Genomic DNA, 17,752 nt, shown 5'->3' with positions numbered 1-17,752 from the left:
CGGGAGTTATACGCATGCTCACTTGAGACGTTCTTCTATTACCAATCTAACGTTCCTAGAGGAAGGTCATATACCAGTTAAACTCCCCCATTTTGCCTCATAGTGCGCATGCTTGAGCCCACTTACCTAACACCTGAGATCTTATTGGGACGCTGCTGATAACCAGTTTCAGGTTTTTTCTGTCTGTCGGGAGATTGCCTTTCCCTCGTGCTGGCTGTGACTAATTATTGTTTTAGAGAAATAATGATTGTAACAGTGTAACAACCACCTGACCATCACTTGATGGTCGTCTGACATTCCTGGTTGGGCGTGCAGCCCTCTCCTGGCCTGCTGATGTCTGCCTGACTACTATAACACAACCTCTCTCTCCTCTGAACTTTTCTGGCAATTACTATTCTCACAACATATTTGATATAACGATGATACCAATGTCTTATATCTATAGATTTTATTTTTATTTTTAAAAGCCTTTTGCTGGCCGTGTGCAGTGGCTTATGCCTGTAATCCTAGCACTTTGGGAGGCCGAGGCAGGTGGATCACTTGAGGCCAGGAGTTCAAGACCAGCCTGGCCAATATGGTGAAACCCCATCTCTACTAAAAATACAAAAAAATTAGCTGGGTGTGGTGGCATGCACCTGTAATTCCAGCTACTCAGGAGGCTGAGGCACGAGAATCACTTGAACCTGGGAGGCAGAGGTTGCAGTGAGCTGAGATCCCGTGCCACTGCACTCCAGCCTGGGCAACAGAGTGAGACTCTGTCTTAAAAAAAAAAAAAAATCTTTAGAGCTAATAACTTCTGCCTGTGGCCTACCTCCCTAACTGTATTGAGACCCCCTTCAATGCAGCAGCTTTGCCCCTGACTTCCTCATACTCCTCACAAAGCCTAACATAATGTCTCGAACGATTGGTGCTCAATACATTTATTGACTTAATGTTGATGTGCATTTTACTGCTTTCATTAGTGTTCTGGCTCTGTGGGTAAACAATTTGGTACATGTAGCATAGTGTAAACTACTGGTTAGCATAGTGCAAACTATTTTATAACTCCTCAGAAATGACTTCTAAGTGATACAACTAAGAAATGGCAGCACTAGAAGTGTAGTACATCAGGGCTCAGTTCTATGTACCATCTAGTACCCTCAGCTGAGAGAAAAACAATACTCTTTGCTCTTAAAAACTCTAGGGACCCTTTTGAACTCATCTTTGGTGACATAGCTCCAATTAGTCTGAAATCTAACATAGGATTGCTTGATGGCTTGCCAGACAGTAACTAGCACTCTGGGTCAGGAACTTTGGCCAGAGCCAAGAGTTCAGTCCTGATGAATCAAATTAACAGCTATGACTCAAAAAGAGGAGGGCTGGGAACTGCTCTTTTATTTCCTATAACTCAAGTTACAGAAAATAAACTCGCTTTGTAGCATTTCATCCCTCACCTACTACCCACCCCTGGGACTTTTTCCCTATGAGTCTTTCAGCCCATTCTTAAAACCCAGATCCCTAAAAAACTAGCGTTACTACCTAGATCGCTTCCATTCTTCAGTCTGCAATGTATTGAATGACTGAATTGCTTGTACTGGTTCTTTTTGAACCTGTGTTCTGGGTTATGTTTGCCCTTGCAAGTTCCCAGGGTTAGACTGAGGAAGGAGATGTGCCCTTTGTGAATTAGACTGATACAGTGAACTTGAAAAATTGAGTTCAGTTATTGATGTATTTGATTTATTGGGGGTCTTCCCCAAGAAAAGCTTCCAATATAGTTGAAAGGACTATACAATATGACGCCAAAAAGAGGGAAGATAGAGATGAAAACTACAGGAGGAAAAACTAGATCTGTAAGAAAAATTAACGGAGGTAGATTAAAAAAAAAAGCCAATGGAGAATTTGAAATGCAGTAGAAATCTTGGCAGCCCACATCTTCAGAAACAAATGCAAACACTGGAATCTGTGTAATGAACCAGAATGAGTACGTGTAAGTTTTGGAATCACTCCGGTCTGGGGTCAAATCTTTACTGTGCTGGGGAGTGTTTGCCAACTGGCTCATCATAAATGAATAAATAAATAAATAAGAAAGCCCTAATTTGCAGCTTTTGTTGCTAATTATACAGTTATTAAATACATGGTCTAGGAAAGTAATGTCCCTGAACACAGATTTGTGAAGAAATGCACAACAGCACATACAAATACACACTTGTATCCCTCATACAAATACAATAGATGTAAATAACTTCAAGAGCATAGATAGTTGAATGTAGGGAAATCATTAAAGTTGATGTTTTTGGGTATTTATTACCTGTAAATATGTATTTTTTTGAGACAGGGTCTCGCTCTGTGCCCAAGCTGGAGTGCAGTGGTGTAATCACACCTCACTGCAGCCTTGACCTCCCAGGCTCAAGCAATCCTCCCATCTCAGCCTCCCAAGTAACTAGGACTACAGGTGTGTGCCACCATGACTAGCTAATTTTTTTTTTTTTTTTTTTTTGATAGAGACAGGGTTTCACCATGTTGTACAGGCTAGTCTCCAACCCCTGGGCTTAAGCAATCCTTCTGCCTCGGCCTCCCAAAGTGCTGGGATTACAGGTGAGAGCCACTGTGCCTGGTCATATTACCTATATTTTAAAATATAATTTTAATTTGTAAGTTTATTTAATTTTTTAAAATGGCTGTTTAATGATCAGCTTGCAAAATTTCAGAAAATATAACAATCAGCCCATGCAAGCTGGTATGAGCTGCTTCCATCACACCACTGATGAATGATGATACTCTTGATCCTTATGATTGCTGGATTCCATATTTGTGAATTCACCTACTCTCTAAAATTTATTTGCAAACCAAGAATCAATACTCAAAGCCTGTGATGGTTAATTTTATGTGTCAATTTTAACTGGGCTACAGGGTGCTTAGGCTACAGGGTGCTTAGGTTACATACAGGGTGCTTTAGTTAAGCTATATTCTTGGTGTATCTGTGAAGATGTCTTTGAATGAGATTAACATTTGAATCTGTAGGCTGAGTAAAGTAGATTGTCCTTCCCAGTGTGAGTGGGCCTCATTTAATTCTTAAAGGCTTGAATTGAACAAGAAAGTCTGAGAAAGGAAGAATTTGGTCTCTCTCTACTTGACTGTCTTTGAGCTGGGACATTGGTCTTCTCCTGCCCTTAGAACCAAACTGGGACTGGAAAGTACACCAACAGCTCTCCTACCTCTCAGGTCTTTGGACTTAGACTGGAACTGTACCATCAACTCTCCTGGTTTTACAGTTTGTAACCGAAGATCTTGGGACTTCTCGGCCTCCATCATCTTGGTGTGAACCAATCCCCATAATAAATCTCTCTCTCCTTCCCTCCCTTTCTCTCCTTCTCTCTGCACACACACACACACACACACACACACACACACACACACACGTATTTTATTGGTTCTGTTACTGTCGGCAAATCTGTACAGGCCTGCAGCACCCTCAATTCTTGCCTTCTCAGAAGAAAGAATTTGACTGCGGGGGCATAAGGCAGAATGAAAGACCAAGGCAAGTTTTTTAGAGCAGGAGTGAAGTTTATTTAAAAGTTTTAGCGCAAGAATGAAAGTTACTTGGAAGATGGCCAAGCGGGCAACTTGAGAGATCAAGTGCCTGGTCTGACCTTTGACTTGGGGTTTTGTATGTTGGCATACTTCCGAGGTCTTGCATCCCTTCTCCCGATTCTTCCCTTGAGGTGGGCTGTCTGCATGCGTAGTGCCTGCTAGCACTTGGGTGGGGCTGCACTTGCAGTGTGTTTATTGGAGTTGTATGCATGCTCACTTGAGGCCTTCTTCCCTTACCAGTTGAATGCTCCTAGAAGGACATTTAACAGTTAAACTTCACAATTTTGCCTCTTAATAAGCATGCTTGAGCCCACTCACCCAACTCCTGAGATCTTATTGGGAAGCTGCTGATAACCAGTTTCAGGTTTTTTTCTATCTGTTGGGAGACTGCCTTTCCTTGACACCATGTTGACCAATTATTATTTTAGAGAAACAGTGTAACAACCACCTGACTATCACCTGATAGTCGCCTGACATTCCTGGTTCAGGGGTGGCCCTCTTCTGCCCTGCTCATGACTGACTAGCTACATACTGTAACAGTTCTGCTTCTCTGGAGAACCCTGATGAATACATGCAGCTTTTATAGTCATCTATGGTGAAAATTTTGAGTCACTCGATGCACACATTCTCAGCTGCGGCTGAACAAGGCGCCATTCTGCCTTCTTCATTCAACTCATGCTGTAAACAAATAATTTCCTTTTTGTAGTCTGTCTAGTGACACAACTTTTGCATCTTTGTGCGTTTTGTTGGTGATTTTGCTGTTTAAAGTGGCGCCCACGTGTAGTGCTAAAGTGCTGTCTAGGGTGCTTAATTGTAAGAAAGCTGTGATATGCCTTATGGAGAAAATGAAACCACCTTTGCAAAATAACAGTGAGAAAATTACAACAGTGAAAGAAATCTGATCTAACTAACCCTCATCTTGCTTTTAACCTCCAAACTGCCCTAAATCATTCCTTGGGCTTGGGACAAGCTAACCTTGGGAACATTTAGTTTATAGTTTAAATAATAGCCATTCCCCAAAACTAAACCACCCTTTGTAAAGCTAATGAAAGACCACCAGGTTAGGAGAATGAGAGGAGCCTAAATTCTGCTAAGGTGTAGACATAAAGGATTATAAACCATTATTCTGGAGTAACCTCCAGAAGATTTGCAACTTCCCCAATTACTCTTGCAGATAACATCTGTCTTATAGAACCTAAGATTGGCCTTTTGTGATGTCTTTTCAGGTTTTTGCATTTCTGATGACCAATGTCTCCACCTGAACCTGCCTGTGGCCCCACCCAGGTGGTGTCCCTACCCAGAAGTGAATTGAGCACTCACAAGGACCATTTTCCACACCTCTATGATTGCATCACAAACCCATCAGCAGCACCCACTCTCTGGCCCACCAAATTATTCTTGAAAAAACCCTAGCCTCTGAATTTTCAGGAAGACTGATTTGCATAATAATACTCCAGTCTTCCATTCAGCCAACTCTGTGTGAATTAAACTCTTTCTCAATTGCAATTCCTTTATCTTGATAAATCAGCTGTATCTGGGCAGCTGGCAAGGAGAACCCACTGGGCAGTTACAAGAATGCATGTGTTGATAAGCTTCATTCAGGAATGAGTTATAGTGCAGTTGGCTATGAGTTCAATGGTAGTTAACTAATAATAGAGATTAAATAGGAAGTCTTTAAACAAATACACATAAAGCAAGGTTACGTATTAATCAGTTGATGAAATGTGACCAGAGGGTCCCGGAAACCTAACCCTGTATTTCTCCTAGGAGTAATGATCCAGCATTGGCCAATTCAGCGCTTCCAGTGACTTTTTGGAACGTAACTATCATGAATAACAAGAATAAAATGTATCTACATTTCAGGGGATAAGTGGCTTGACTGAGGCAGTTTTGCACCCAGCATTATGCCTGACACACAGTAGGAAAACAAGGTTGATTCTCTTCTCTATCTCACCTCCCTGGGTAGTGATGTGATGCTAAGCTAGGCAGGGTCACAACTAGCAGTTGTGAAATCTACAAACAGTGAGTTGTCATTTTTGGCTTCTCTCCTGCTCCAGAGAGGTGCTACGGAAATTGGTCTCATCCATCAATCCACAGTCCACTAGGTGCCTTTGAACTACATACAGAAAGTTGTTAACAAAACAATGGAAAAGAACTGCCTTTAGTCAGGAAGTTTGCCTTCCTACCTAAGGATCTCCTCTGGCTGATGATTGCCAGTTTCTCATATTTTTTTCAAGTTGCTTTCCTTGAAGTGACCTGGAGGCATTTCCTGTCCCAGATCTCAGCATACTTACAGCAAAACCTTCCACCTCTCATTCTCCATCAGGACTTTGACTTTCTTGCTTGGGGGTTAAATCTTCAGTAATATGTAATCCTTTATATCCTCCCATGGCCATGTGCCCATCTTCCTGCCTTGTCGCGCAATGCAGACACTACTGACACACTAGGAGTTTGAGAAGGCTTTTTCCAGTTATACATACAAATTTGTATTTGTTCCATTGTTTAGCTCATGTCCTTTCTCTTATTAAAGATGACAACCAATAAGATTACGCTACTCCCTTCTCAAATCCCTGAAATGTTTCCCACTACTCTTAGCCTAAAACTTGCCCTCCTTACCACGGGAATAGGATATGGGCCCTATATGATCTGTCCCTTGCTAACTTTTCAGTCTTATGGCCTGCGCCTTCCTTTTGTTCATTATGCTTCATCCACACTGGCCTTCTTGTTATTCCTTGAATTTAGAAGCATAGTCCCACCTTGCAGCCTTTCTCTTTCAGGTTCCCACTGCCTCTGTCTGGATTGCTCCTATGCAAGATTTCCCCACTGGCTGCTCCTGTCAGTAAGGTCTTAGCTCAGATCACCTGTCCATAAGGTGCCTTTAACCACCCAATCTGAAGAGCCCTGGCAATCACCATGAAATCCCCTTATTTCTTCATTACTTTTGTCCTTTTGAGATGGGATTGTTCCCTTGACATTGACCCCCTTTTTGGGCAGGAACTGGCGTGGCTTGTTTCACTCAGCCTGCTGAATGCTGGAACTAGCTGGTTGCTCCTCTCTGGCAAAAACAGGCTTTGTGTGGGCCCTGCAGTGGCATCCGAGTCCCTGTCCTCTTGGCACCCTGGTTCTTGTCCGGCATCCAGGCAGAATCAGGTCATATAAATGGATTGAAGGGCGGTGTATGCGCAGAGGATTTTATTGGTCGATAAAAGTGGCTCTCAGTGGGATGGGGAGTTGGAAAGGGGATGGTGCAGAAAGAAGGTGATCTTTCCTTGAAGCTGCACCGTCTGAAGTTAGTCGCATCTATCTGTAGTCTCCAACACTCTTGTTGCTGCTTCTCTGCTTACCACTCAGCCACCTGTATCCCCGACACTCAGCAGCTTGTATCCTCAACGCTCAGCTGCTTGTGTTGCTCTGCCAGCTGAGTCCTTTTATGGGCACAGGATAAGGGCATGGCAGGCGAAAAAAACAACATTTGGGCGGAAAAATGGGGTCAGCTGTTTTTACTTAGGGCCGAGGTTCCAGGCTTAAGGGTGGGGTTTAGTGGGGAGCTCAGCCGTACCATATCACTTTGTCACTATGTGAAATTGCCTTGTTTTAAGGGCTGAATTGTGTCTTCCTCCAAATTCTTGTTGAAACCTTAACCTCTATTGCTTCAGGAGGTGACAATATTTGGATGTAGGGCTTTTAAAGAGGTGATTAAGGTAAAATGAGGTCATATGGCTGGGCCCCAATCCAGTATGACTAGATTCCTCAGAAGAAGAGATTAGGATACAGACATATACAGAGGAAAGACAAAGTAAGAAGGAGCCATCTGTAAGCCAGGAAGAGAGGCCTCAGGAGACATCAATCCTGACAGCACCTTGATCTTGGACTTCTAGCCTCCAGAACTGTGAGAAGATACACTTTGTTCTTGAATTTATTTTCTCATGGTTCTGAGCCACCCAGTCTGTGGTATTTTGTAATGGCAGCCCTAGCAAACTAATATTCCTTGTTTATTTTTTAAAATAGACTTTATTATTTTAGAGCAGTTTTAGGTTCACTGCAAAATTGAGAGGAAGGTACAGAAATTTCCCATAACCCTCGTGCCCCCACACTTGCATAGCCTCCCCCATTATCAACATCACCCACTAGCGGTACATTTGTTATAACTGATGATCCTCCATTGACACATAATTATCATCCAGAGTCCACAGTTTACATGAGGGTTCACTCTTGGTGGTGTACATTTTATGGGTTTGGACAAATGTATAATGACATGTATCCACTATTAAAGTATCATATATAGTAGTTTCCTGGCCCTAAAAATCTATTCTGTTTATTCATCCCTCTCTCGCCTGCAACCCTTGGCCACCACTGATCTTTTCACTGTCTCCACAGTTTTGTCTTTTCCAGAATGTCATATAGTTGGAATCATATAGTACATAACCTTTTCAGATTGGCTGTTTCACTAGGTAACATGTATTTAAGTTTCCCCATATATTTTCTGTGGCTTGATAGCTCATTTCTTTTTGGTACTGAATAATATCCCATTATCTGGATGTACCACAGTTTGCTTATCCATTCACCTACCGAAGGACAACTTGGTTGCTTCCACGTTTTGGCAACTATGAATAAAGCTGCTATGTATGTATAAATTTCATCCATGTATGGGTTTTTGTGCAGACATAAATTTTCAACTCCTTCAGGTAAACTCCAAGGAGTATGATTGCTGGATCATACGGGAAGAGTATGTTTAATTTTACAAGAAACTGCCAAACTGTCTTCTAAAGTGTGTGAACCATTTGCATTTCCACCAGCAATCAACAGAGTTCCCCTACATGCTTGTTAACATTTGGTGTTGTTAGTGTTCTGGAATTTGGCCACTCTGTGACATTTGTAGTAGTATCCCATTGATGTTTTAATTTGCATTTCCCTGATGATATATGATGTGCAGCTCCTTGTTTATTTGTTTTTTGCTTCCCTTTATTGTAAGTTCCATAGAAGTAGGAACTTATCTGTCTTATTTATCATTCTGTCCTTAGTGTCTACAATAATTCCTGGCACCTAGTGGGCTCTCTATAAGTATTTTTGAGTGATTGAATTACGCAGCCAGGGAACTGAGCCTTTGCTGTTTATTTTTGGCTCTGCAGATATTTTATATTATTCAGTAAGTTAAAAAAAAATAAACTTCTTACCTGAAGATGTGCTTCAAAACTTAGTCATGAATGCTGGAGCATAGACCTTCTTGCCTTGTTTCACAACTGTTTCATTCATTCTCTAGTTCTTCATGTCCTCTCTCTTCAGTTCCTCTTAGCTTGTTTCTAGCCACTTCTCTAGTCTCAGTCCTGCATCTCCCTCCCGTGATGCCTGGACTTGGGATGCTGGTGTCAAATCCCCTTATCCAAGCCTGCCATAAAGCCCCTCAGCTTCTGTGCCTGAGGCACCAGTGAGAGAAGCGGAACCCACACAGGGAAATCCTGAGTTCAGAAAGAGTTGGAGACAAAGTACTGTCTCCTGCTTGTTTCCTAATAGATGGAATGTTAATTGCTAACAGCTCCCATCTTACTAGTTCTCTCGTAACTGGGTTCATTTGTTTCTTCGACAAACATTTCTTGTGTCCTATTACATGCCAGACTCTATGGGAGGCTCTAGGAATACTGGCTTTATGCTGCTTATTTGGTTTGCTCTCCCGCATCTATTGTTGCTGTGCACCATGGGAGGCTGAACCCTGTAGCCTACGTCCCCCAGGCTCCGCACTGTCAGCTTTCTGCTGAGTCCAGCCAATGCGTGGTATAACAAGGCAGGAAGAGAGAGACATTGGGGTATTTTCTTTCCATCCAGGTTTGTAGCCCCCAAAGAGTGGCCTCTCTTCCATACTAGCCCCTCTCACTGGCCTCTGGTTACAACCCAGGGGTGGTAAAGGCTTCCCATACTTGTTAGCCTCTGGGTGCCTCACTCTCCCTTGTTTGATGTAATCCAGCCCATGCCTCTGTAAAGTCATCCTTTTATTAAAGTTTCTTCAACTTAACCATCTGACAGTGACTGTTTCCCACCTGGACCTTGGCTAAGGCAGACTTTATATAATTTTTAAATTTCAGGCTGGGTGCAGTAGCTCATGCCTGTAATCCCAGCACATCAAGGCCAAGGTGAGAGGATTGCTTGAGGTCAGGAGTTTGAGATCAGCCTGGGCAACACAGCAAGACTTCACCACTATGAAAAATTTAAAAAATTAACTGGGTTTGGTGGTGTGTGCCTCTAGTCCCAGCGACTTGGGAGGCTGAGCTTGGGGGGATTGCTTGCGCCCAGGAGTTTGTGGCTGTAGCAAGCTATGATCGCAACACTGCACTCCAGCCTGGGCAACTGAGAGAAACCCTGTCCTTAATTTTTTTTTTAATTAAAAAATTTAAAATTTTAATGTTTAGGAATAATATAACTTTTGTTTCTTTGTGCTCCAGCACTTTGAGAATAATTAAGGGTGTGGGTCCCAGGATCCAGTTACTGTGCTAATTGGTTCTGAGGGACCACCCAGCATCCCAGTAGTTCTTGGTACACAGCTCTCCCCCTTTGTTGTCCTATCATCTCTCAATGTTGTTAGCATTGTTGCCACTGTTCCCACTGAAGCAAGAGCACGGCTGGTGGAAACAGAATTAGGAGGCAGGAATAACAGATGCTTAGGTTGGATATGGCAGCCCCAGTAGTAAGCAATGGGGCCTAGAGAAAAGGGAGTTGCATTTTGGCTACTTGGGAGAGATACTGCTATAGTTCGAATGTCCTCTCCAAAACTCAAGTTTTAAGGTAGGACCTTGTCCTTATGCATGAATTAATGCTTTTATTTCAGGAGTGATGAAAGGATGAGTTTGGCTCAGTTTCCTCTGTCTAGCATGCTTGCTCTCCCATGTGGCACCTTCTGCCATGTGATGACCTTCACCAGTTTCCAGCACCATGCTCTTGGACTTCCCAGCCTCCAGAACCATGAGCCCAATAAACTTCCATTCTTTATAAATTACCCAGTGTGTGGTATTCTGTTACAGCAGCAGAAAGCAGACTAAGACAGATGCTTATAGCATTAGATTATGCTATGTTTTGTAGAACTGAAGAATTCATGGATTCCAAAAAAGTATATTTTTTCATAGTCTGTATTTTTGTGTCTCAGAGGAATGTTGGTGGTTTAACTTATTAGAATAACTCATGCTTGAAATCAGCATGAGTTATTCTATTGTTGGGGGTGGTTATAATGTTTATAAGATTTTAATAGGGTATCTGCTTTATTTTTTATAATACTTGTGATAGTGGTGGGGTGTCTGGTTGAATTTCAGTGCTATTTTTACGGCTTTTGAGTACTAGAAGACCTAAGCTTAGAGCAGAAGAGCAGATTGAGAGAGGTATTTCACAGGAAAGACAGAGAAAGATGGAGAGAAGTTCTAGCAAAGTGAGGTACAAACCAAGAGAAGATGATGTGGGCCAAACTCCGATGAGGGGTGCATACACAGAGAAGGGAAGTTTTGTGTTGTGCTTTGGGTGTTTATCCTAGGTGCCTCTTTTAAAATTTTTTTAAAAATAAGCATAACCTGATATATTTCAGATGATCTCTATAAACCATGTTTTCCAGAATAAAGTGCTACATAAAATTTAGCATTGAGGTTTTAATCTTAATTTTCAAAGAGATACTACAGTCTATCCAAGTTAACGTAACATTACTTTCTCAATGATCACAATGATACTGGGAGTTGACGAGGCTTGTAACAATCTACTGGGATGATGTGAGCCTTTATTAACCTCATCAGGTGAGATGTGATGTTTTACCCACACGAGCTGGTTAGCATTTACAGTAAAGGGCACTTACACTGCACTCTTAATACTTATCTTTATTATGAAAGTGTTTCCAAAGTAAAATGATCCTCATAATAATGATTGCTTCCAGAGATCAAGAATGAATAATTATATTTTCATATAAAAATCAGCAAAACACAATAACAATACATAAAATAATTCTAATTGGCTAACAGTATTTCATTCCATTTCTGACAGAGATGCTCAAGCACTGAATTGTCTTAAGAAAACAAGTAAGGTTTTGTCACCTATCCTATTTCTCACTGCAAGTTGAAAAAAATCAAATCCAAACACCACCACCCCTTCTATGACAACAAACGGCTGTGGAGGTAAATGACTATGTGGGCAAAGAGTTGATGAAAATCATGAGCTTAGGGGCTTTATGAAACTTTGGGAAATCAAACTCAGAGGTTGTTTTCCATTCTTAAAGTAATGAAGCTCTAAGTTAAAGTTTCAGAATCATCACATAACTGTTCCTATTCCATAACTCATTTCTTTTTTTTTTTTGCAGGTAATCTTATTTTCCTAAGGGTAGTTTCATGATGACAGTGTCAAAAAATTACTGTGGATAAAGAAAAAATTGTCTCAATGAAATAGAATTTTTCACTGAACACAGAAACCATCTCAATAGTTGCTGCTCCCTGGTTTCCAGGCCACGCAACAGACATCAAACCAGGAAGCCAAACTTTCATGGACCTGTGTTAAGAAAAACACACATACATGGGCATACTACTTTTTCCAGAAAAACGGAATTAGGCAGAGAAGGAAGTGTGGGTGTACAACTGATCCACAAGCTATTGGGAAATCAATAGCTAAAAAATGTCCACACCCTGGCTTCCTTTTATCAGGAACTCCAGGAGGCTGAAGGAATGTGAGTGCATGAGATAAGCAAGACAGATCTTAACGGTCCCCTCACATCCCTTTCTGGGCAATCTCCAGAATGCCTAGTTTTGTGGAGACACCATGTACTATCTGGCTGCAGAGACTTTCTTAGGTCCCGTGTTAGACCCCATGGGGTCTCAGCATGTGGTCATGTGGTAATGCATTCCTTTCAAAGGCTTTGGGTTGAACTCAAGTTGGAAATACCTGGAAAAGACCAAGCTTCTCCTTTGGGTGTCTGCGGATCCTATTAAAAATATTCGTGATGTTTTAAGTTCTCCAATACAATTTTCTCCACGAAAACAAGCATCAGATACACTACCTCTAAGTATTTATTGGAGGGGTTCCAACAGCCTCGTGGACAGGCCTTCTCAGCAGCTACTGAGTGCCCCCTAGGGGTGGGGAGGGGCCAGTGCACATGGAGGCAAACCACAGAGCCCTTTTGTGGCCTATTATTATGAAGAACTAAAATGTGGCCAGTGAACCAGTCAGTGCTCATCACTACGGGGTACTTTGACAATGGCACAATTTCATTTTACCAAAAGAAACCTTCACTGGCTCTGGGGACTGCAATATCTTCATTTTAAAATATTTTGCTGCGTTTTCTTCAAGGGCGGCTTGTGACAACTGAACTGCTGATTATTCCTTCCATGGACAGCATGGTAGTGGCAAGTGCAGTAACTGGGCTCATTGCATTTTCTCTTTCCATACAAGTTACTGCAACTGCCATGTGATCACTTTTCCAGCAGGCTGACTTCGATTTGATTTTTTTCTTATTTAAATGTTAGAAACATCTCAGGGCTATTATTATTTATCTACAAAGCAGAAATCAGCCAAAGACAAAGGAAAAAAGTAAGCTAATCAGAACCTGAAGACCTGAAATACCACATGAAATGTAAACATTTAACTTTTTATTTCCAAAGGATTTCTTGAAGCCTCTCTGGAGATAATGACATCACCACACATACTGTTAAACAATCTTTTAATACCTTTGGAATTACTCTTTATAATTTTTATACTTCAAATTAAGAAAACCGCCCAATGTTCAGGCAACTTTGGCATTAACATTTCCAAGAAAGGGACAAAAACAACTATTAATGCAACATCATGAAGAGATTGGGGACAATTGTGGGTGTCTATAAAGCTCTCTTTGAAAAGCTCTTTAAAGCGAACTCAGGTAAATGGAAATGAAATCTGACTTTTTACTTAGGCCAAATAACAATGAGGTTTGAATATAAAATGGAAGATTCAGGCCCTTTCTACCTAAGATGAAGGCATTTAGTTTGCTCAAATTCAAACTCCACCAAATACTCTGAATGGAAAGTTTGGCAACAGAACTGGACATGTGGAGGTTCACCAACCATTTTGATCAAAGGTGATCTGATTTTATCTCACTTCTTGCCTAACCTTTCTGGCTTCTTTACCTTGACTAGATGCCTGTGGCATTATATAATGATGCAGCCCAGCAGAAGTAGGATGCTAATAAACCCTGGGGTAAAGCAGCAATCATCTGCATTTTTACCACATACACTTGAATAATCCAAAATACTGAGAGTTGCTTCCCTATGCTCAACATCCATAGGACCAAATTTGGAAAGGTGAACTGTAGTTGGCTTATATGCTGGCCTTAGGTGCTCTTATGACCTGTGCTTAGCCATATTTAGCTCACTGGCTAAGAGGCTGAAAAGATTCTACCACCTTCAGGTGTGTGGGGAACATGAACAGGAGGCTGACAAACAAGGAGGGAAGTTTCTATTGTACCTGGTGAGTGGGTTTTATGAAAAGAATATGGGTAGGGATGAGTCAGTGATATTTTGGTTTTATCACTTTTTGGAGAAACATACATATATATACATAAATAGAACACATGTTTTTATATCATTTATTGACCTGAGGCCAAATTCTACTCGATTTTCTACTTTCCCCCTACTAAGAGATCCAGAAAAGCTATTAACATTAGAGAATAAAGTATTACTTCTTCTGGAATCCTTTCTACATACCCCTTTGTACTCTGGGAAGGTTTGAATGTGACCAGGAAGGAGGAGATATCAACACAGGCTAAGTTAATTAACGAAAAACAGCATTCTGACTAACCTATAGTTGAATTTACAAAATACACTTCAAAGCTATGGCCTGGTACAGGGGGAGGATGAGATACTGCACATATTTTTCTCTCTCAGCCTTATCAGGCTACCATGGGAAAGCTATAGACAGAGATATATTATTCTTCACCATAAAAAGCCTGCAAACCCCATTTTAATTAGCCCCAAAGAACTGTGCCCTAAAATGTAAAATGAAATAAAAATCTCTGGATAACATAGACGACTGTGTGAAGTGAATGCCATCAGTTAGAGAGACCCCAAGTGTTCCCAGTTCTCCTTCTAAGTAACTTCTGGGGGGAAAAATGATTGCTTAGATTTGCCTTTGCTAATGACAGACCCCATTTACTACGTTTTATGCAATTCTTCTAAACCTTTAATTTACAAGATGACCTCCTTGAAATTATTCTTCTGTGCTCGAGTGTCATATGATCTAAACCTGAACACATGGATCTCTAAAGTTAATTTTAGCCATTGAGAGGACTTGCCCCAGACACTAAAGCAAGCTAAATATGTTCATATTTTAATTAAGAAACTTTTACCTTCTCAAAATTTTCAGCTGTAATATGCTATTACCTTATACATATACTTGCATTTTAGCAGATGTTCTGGAGACTAACAAGTCCTTTTATGATTGTTCTTACAAACTCAACCATCCACAAATTACACTCCTAGACATATGCCTGTTTTGTGAAATAAAATAACAAGGCTCTAAAAGCAGAATTATTTGCATCGTTTTCTCAATAAACAAGCAGATGTATTTCTAAGCCTCTTCAATTATTACTAAGGACCATAACAGAAACATATTATTTTGTAAATAAGTAGGGCAAGATATAATATTACGGTAAGAATTTTTTGGTTGGGAACATTCTTTTAACTATTAACCCACAGATTGCAAATTGTGGGCAAAAAGCTTTAATTTTTTCCAAGAATTGAATTAAATGTGAATGGTTCTGAGCAGGATACGCACTCTCTGGTGTTTCTGCACGCTTGTTAGCATTTCTGCTGTTGTCTTCACAGCCCTGATTCACACATTTATATTATGGCATTTTTGTTTGGGGTTCGTTCTAAGTGATGGCCTTCTTGATTTATGAAGGGTTTTATAATCCCTTTTTCCTCTTACTAAAAGTTAGAAGAAGAGATAAAATCTTTGGCTGACATATGGTTTTCTTATCTGTACATAAATAACACTGCTATGTAGGAGACTTATGGAAACTTATTCTTCAGTAATTTTCCTCATTGTTGATATTGCCATTGTCCAATAGAATTTTTCATTTTTCCAGAAACAGCCCCATTTGAAAAAAATTCCTGGAAACCAAAGAAGCATTGTAGTGTAATGCTGCTCAGTGTTTAGTAACAGGAAAGTCATCTGGATTACGTTTAAGGAGAAAAGCAAAGGGTAAAATAGTCTTTCTCCCATTGGCTTTATTTTGCTCAGCAAAATAAAAACATCAACATCAAGTACTAGATAGGGCTTTTTCTTGAAAGCTGGTTGCATTAAAGTGCTCTGCACTGCACAGGTAATCTTTATCAACTCTTGAAATATTTTTTTGTCCCCAAATATAGTTAACTTCTTTCTTTTATAACATAAGACTGCACTAATTATAGGGTAGTGGCAAAACCTGGCTGAAATCAGTTGCTCTCTTTATGTTATTCCCAGAACACAGGACAAATTCCCATTCTTAACAGTGATTTCCTTGTTTATAACTATGAGCTTCAGTGAATATCCTCCTTCAAAATCAGAGCACTGACCTCATCACAGAGAAAAACAAACAAACAAACAAATACACTCTGCAACCTACAAGGTTAACCCTCAACTAGCTCACACCCATTGAAGAAATCTTGGCTGTGTGCACAAGAAATGAAATCTATTTCAAAGCAATTTAATACAAAACCATTCAAAAAAGTTCTCCAATAACCATCTTCTTTAATTTGAACTGCTAATTGAACATGAAGAGTGAAAATTAAACACCTAGTTCGTCCGGTTTAAATGGTCACTAAGACTGTATAGGCAATTTCAAAATGGGCACTGTAACTAAAAGAAAGCAAACCTATTTAGAGCTGAACGAGACTCTTGCACTGGGTTTTGCTTGCTCTAAGTGACAAAGTAAGCTGATGCTCATAGCACATTGGACTACAGCAAGAGAAAGGGGGAGAAGCAGATGGAGCATCTCCTTCACTGTCATGAGCCCAGTGAGTAAAAGGAGTGAGGAAACCCTCTTTTGTCCACAGATTTACAAATACAAAAAAATAAATAATATTCTAAGACAGTACAAATGCAAATACTGTTCCCTTGTGTCAATTACATACAGCATGCCTACAAAGAGAGAATGGTAATTCTTCTTCATTCACAGACAGGACACATGGCAGTGCACTATTCAAAATGCTTTGATAATCTTAATTTTTGTTTCTGGTGCTGAGATATTATGAAAGGAACTGCATTTGCAACTTATTAAATACTTCCAGGAACAAATAGTTCACTTTGCTTGGGACTTGTAGTTTTGAGTAATTAATCATCCATGGAGCAGGAGCCAGTCAGGAGATACCCGTTGGTACCACTGGTCCCATTGGTGGTTGTCGCAGTGTGGGGATTCTTTCCCGGAGGTTCTGAGTCCTCCTCATCTGAGCTAGACTCAATATCACTTCGATCATCCTTGGACACCTGTGGAGTAGAAGCAGGTGAGTATAACCAGCACCTAAGAAATCATCAAGGTATGGCATGCTAGAAGCACATGCAGTCATACACAAGGGGAAACAGATCCCAATGTTAAAAAACTGAAGAGGATGAGAACATTGCCAGAGCAATAAGTTCCCCTTCATTGGAGAGATAAAATGTAGGCGACAAAGTCATTTATGAAGGAATGTAAGTATCATGGAGGGCTAGACTTCTTGACTTCTTTAAGGTATCTTTCCATATTGAGAACATACTAGACCATGAATCCCACTTGTAATCAAAAAGTAGCATACTGTGTCACTGGAATGGCGTCATAGGAATTTGGTACAAATGGATCAATTTACTCATTGATGATCACATTCTCCTTGAGAATAATTTAAAATCAGCTCTCAATTAACCATAGCAATGGAGATAGTCACTAACTCAGAACACTGAAAAAAAAAAATTCCTATTTGGCTTTTTCATGCATTGTTTTATGATTACATTTCTATTTTTTGTATGCTATAATTAATTAGGAATTTTGTTCTGTATGTCACACAACAAATGACAGCAGGAAGCATTTTTTTTTTCTTTTCTTTTTTTTTTTTTTTTTTGAGTCAGAGTCTTGCTCTGTTGCCCAGGCTGGAGTGCACTGGTGCGATCCAACTCACTGCAACCTCCGCCTCCTGGGTTCAGGCAATTCTCCTGCCTTAGCCTCCCGAGTAGCTAGGATTACAGGCAT

General features: G+C 40.5%; 1 protein-coding gene and 1 long non-coding RNA gene across 6 annotated transcripts in view; one reads left to right on the top strand and one right to left on the bottom strand.

Moving 5' to 3' along the window:
• Positions 1-99: 99 nt before the first annotated feature.
• Positions 100-14,578, top strand: CERS6-AS1 (CERS6 antisense RNA 1). Of its 2 annotated transcripts, NR_045786.1 has the most exons (4): positions 100-172; positions 2,482-2,574; positions 11,578-11,708; positions 11,891-14,578. It is a non-coding gene; the product is annotated as a CERS6 antisense RNA 1 (long non-coding RNA). The 2 variants fall into 2 exon arrangements; NR_045787.1 differs by lacking the exon at positions 2,482-2,574.
• CERS6 (ceramide synthase 6) overlaps positions 11,395-17,752 on the bottom strand; it is a 318,863-nt gene continuing 312,505 nt past the window's right edge. For all 4 annotated transcript variants that reach the window (NM_001256126.2, NM_203463.3, XM_005246440.6 and 1 more), the window contains one exon: positions 11,395-17,019. In NM_001256126.2, coding sequence (NP_001243055.1) covers positions 16,867-17,019 — 153 coding nt within the window. In that variant the 3' untranslated portion in view covers positions 11,395-16,866. The remainder of the gene's footprint in view (positions 17,020-17,752) is intronic.

The sequence above is a fragment of the Homo sapiens genome, chromosome 2 (genome assembly GCF_000001405.40).
Source record: "Homo sapiens chromosome 2, GRCh38.p14 Primary Assembly".
Taxonomy (NCBI): Eukaryota; Metazoa; Chordata; class Mammalia; order Primates; family Hominidae; genus Homo; species Homo sapiens.
The sequence above is the reverse complement of the archived record's forward strand: the minus strand, read 5'-3'. Positions and strand labels throughout refer to the sequence as shown.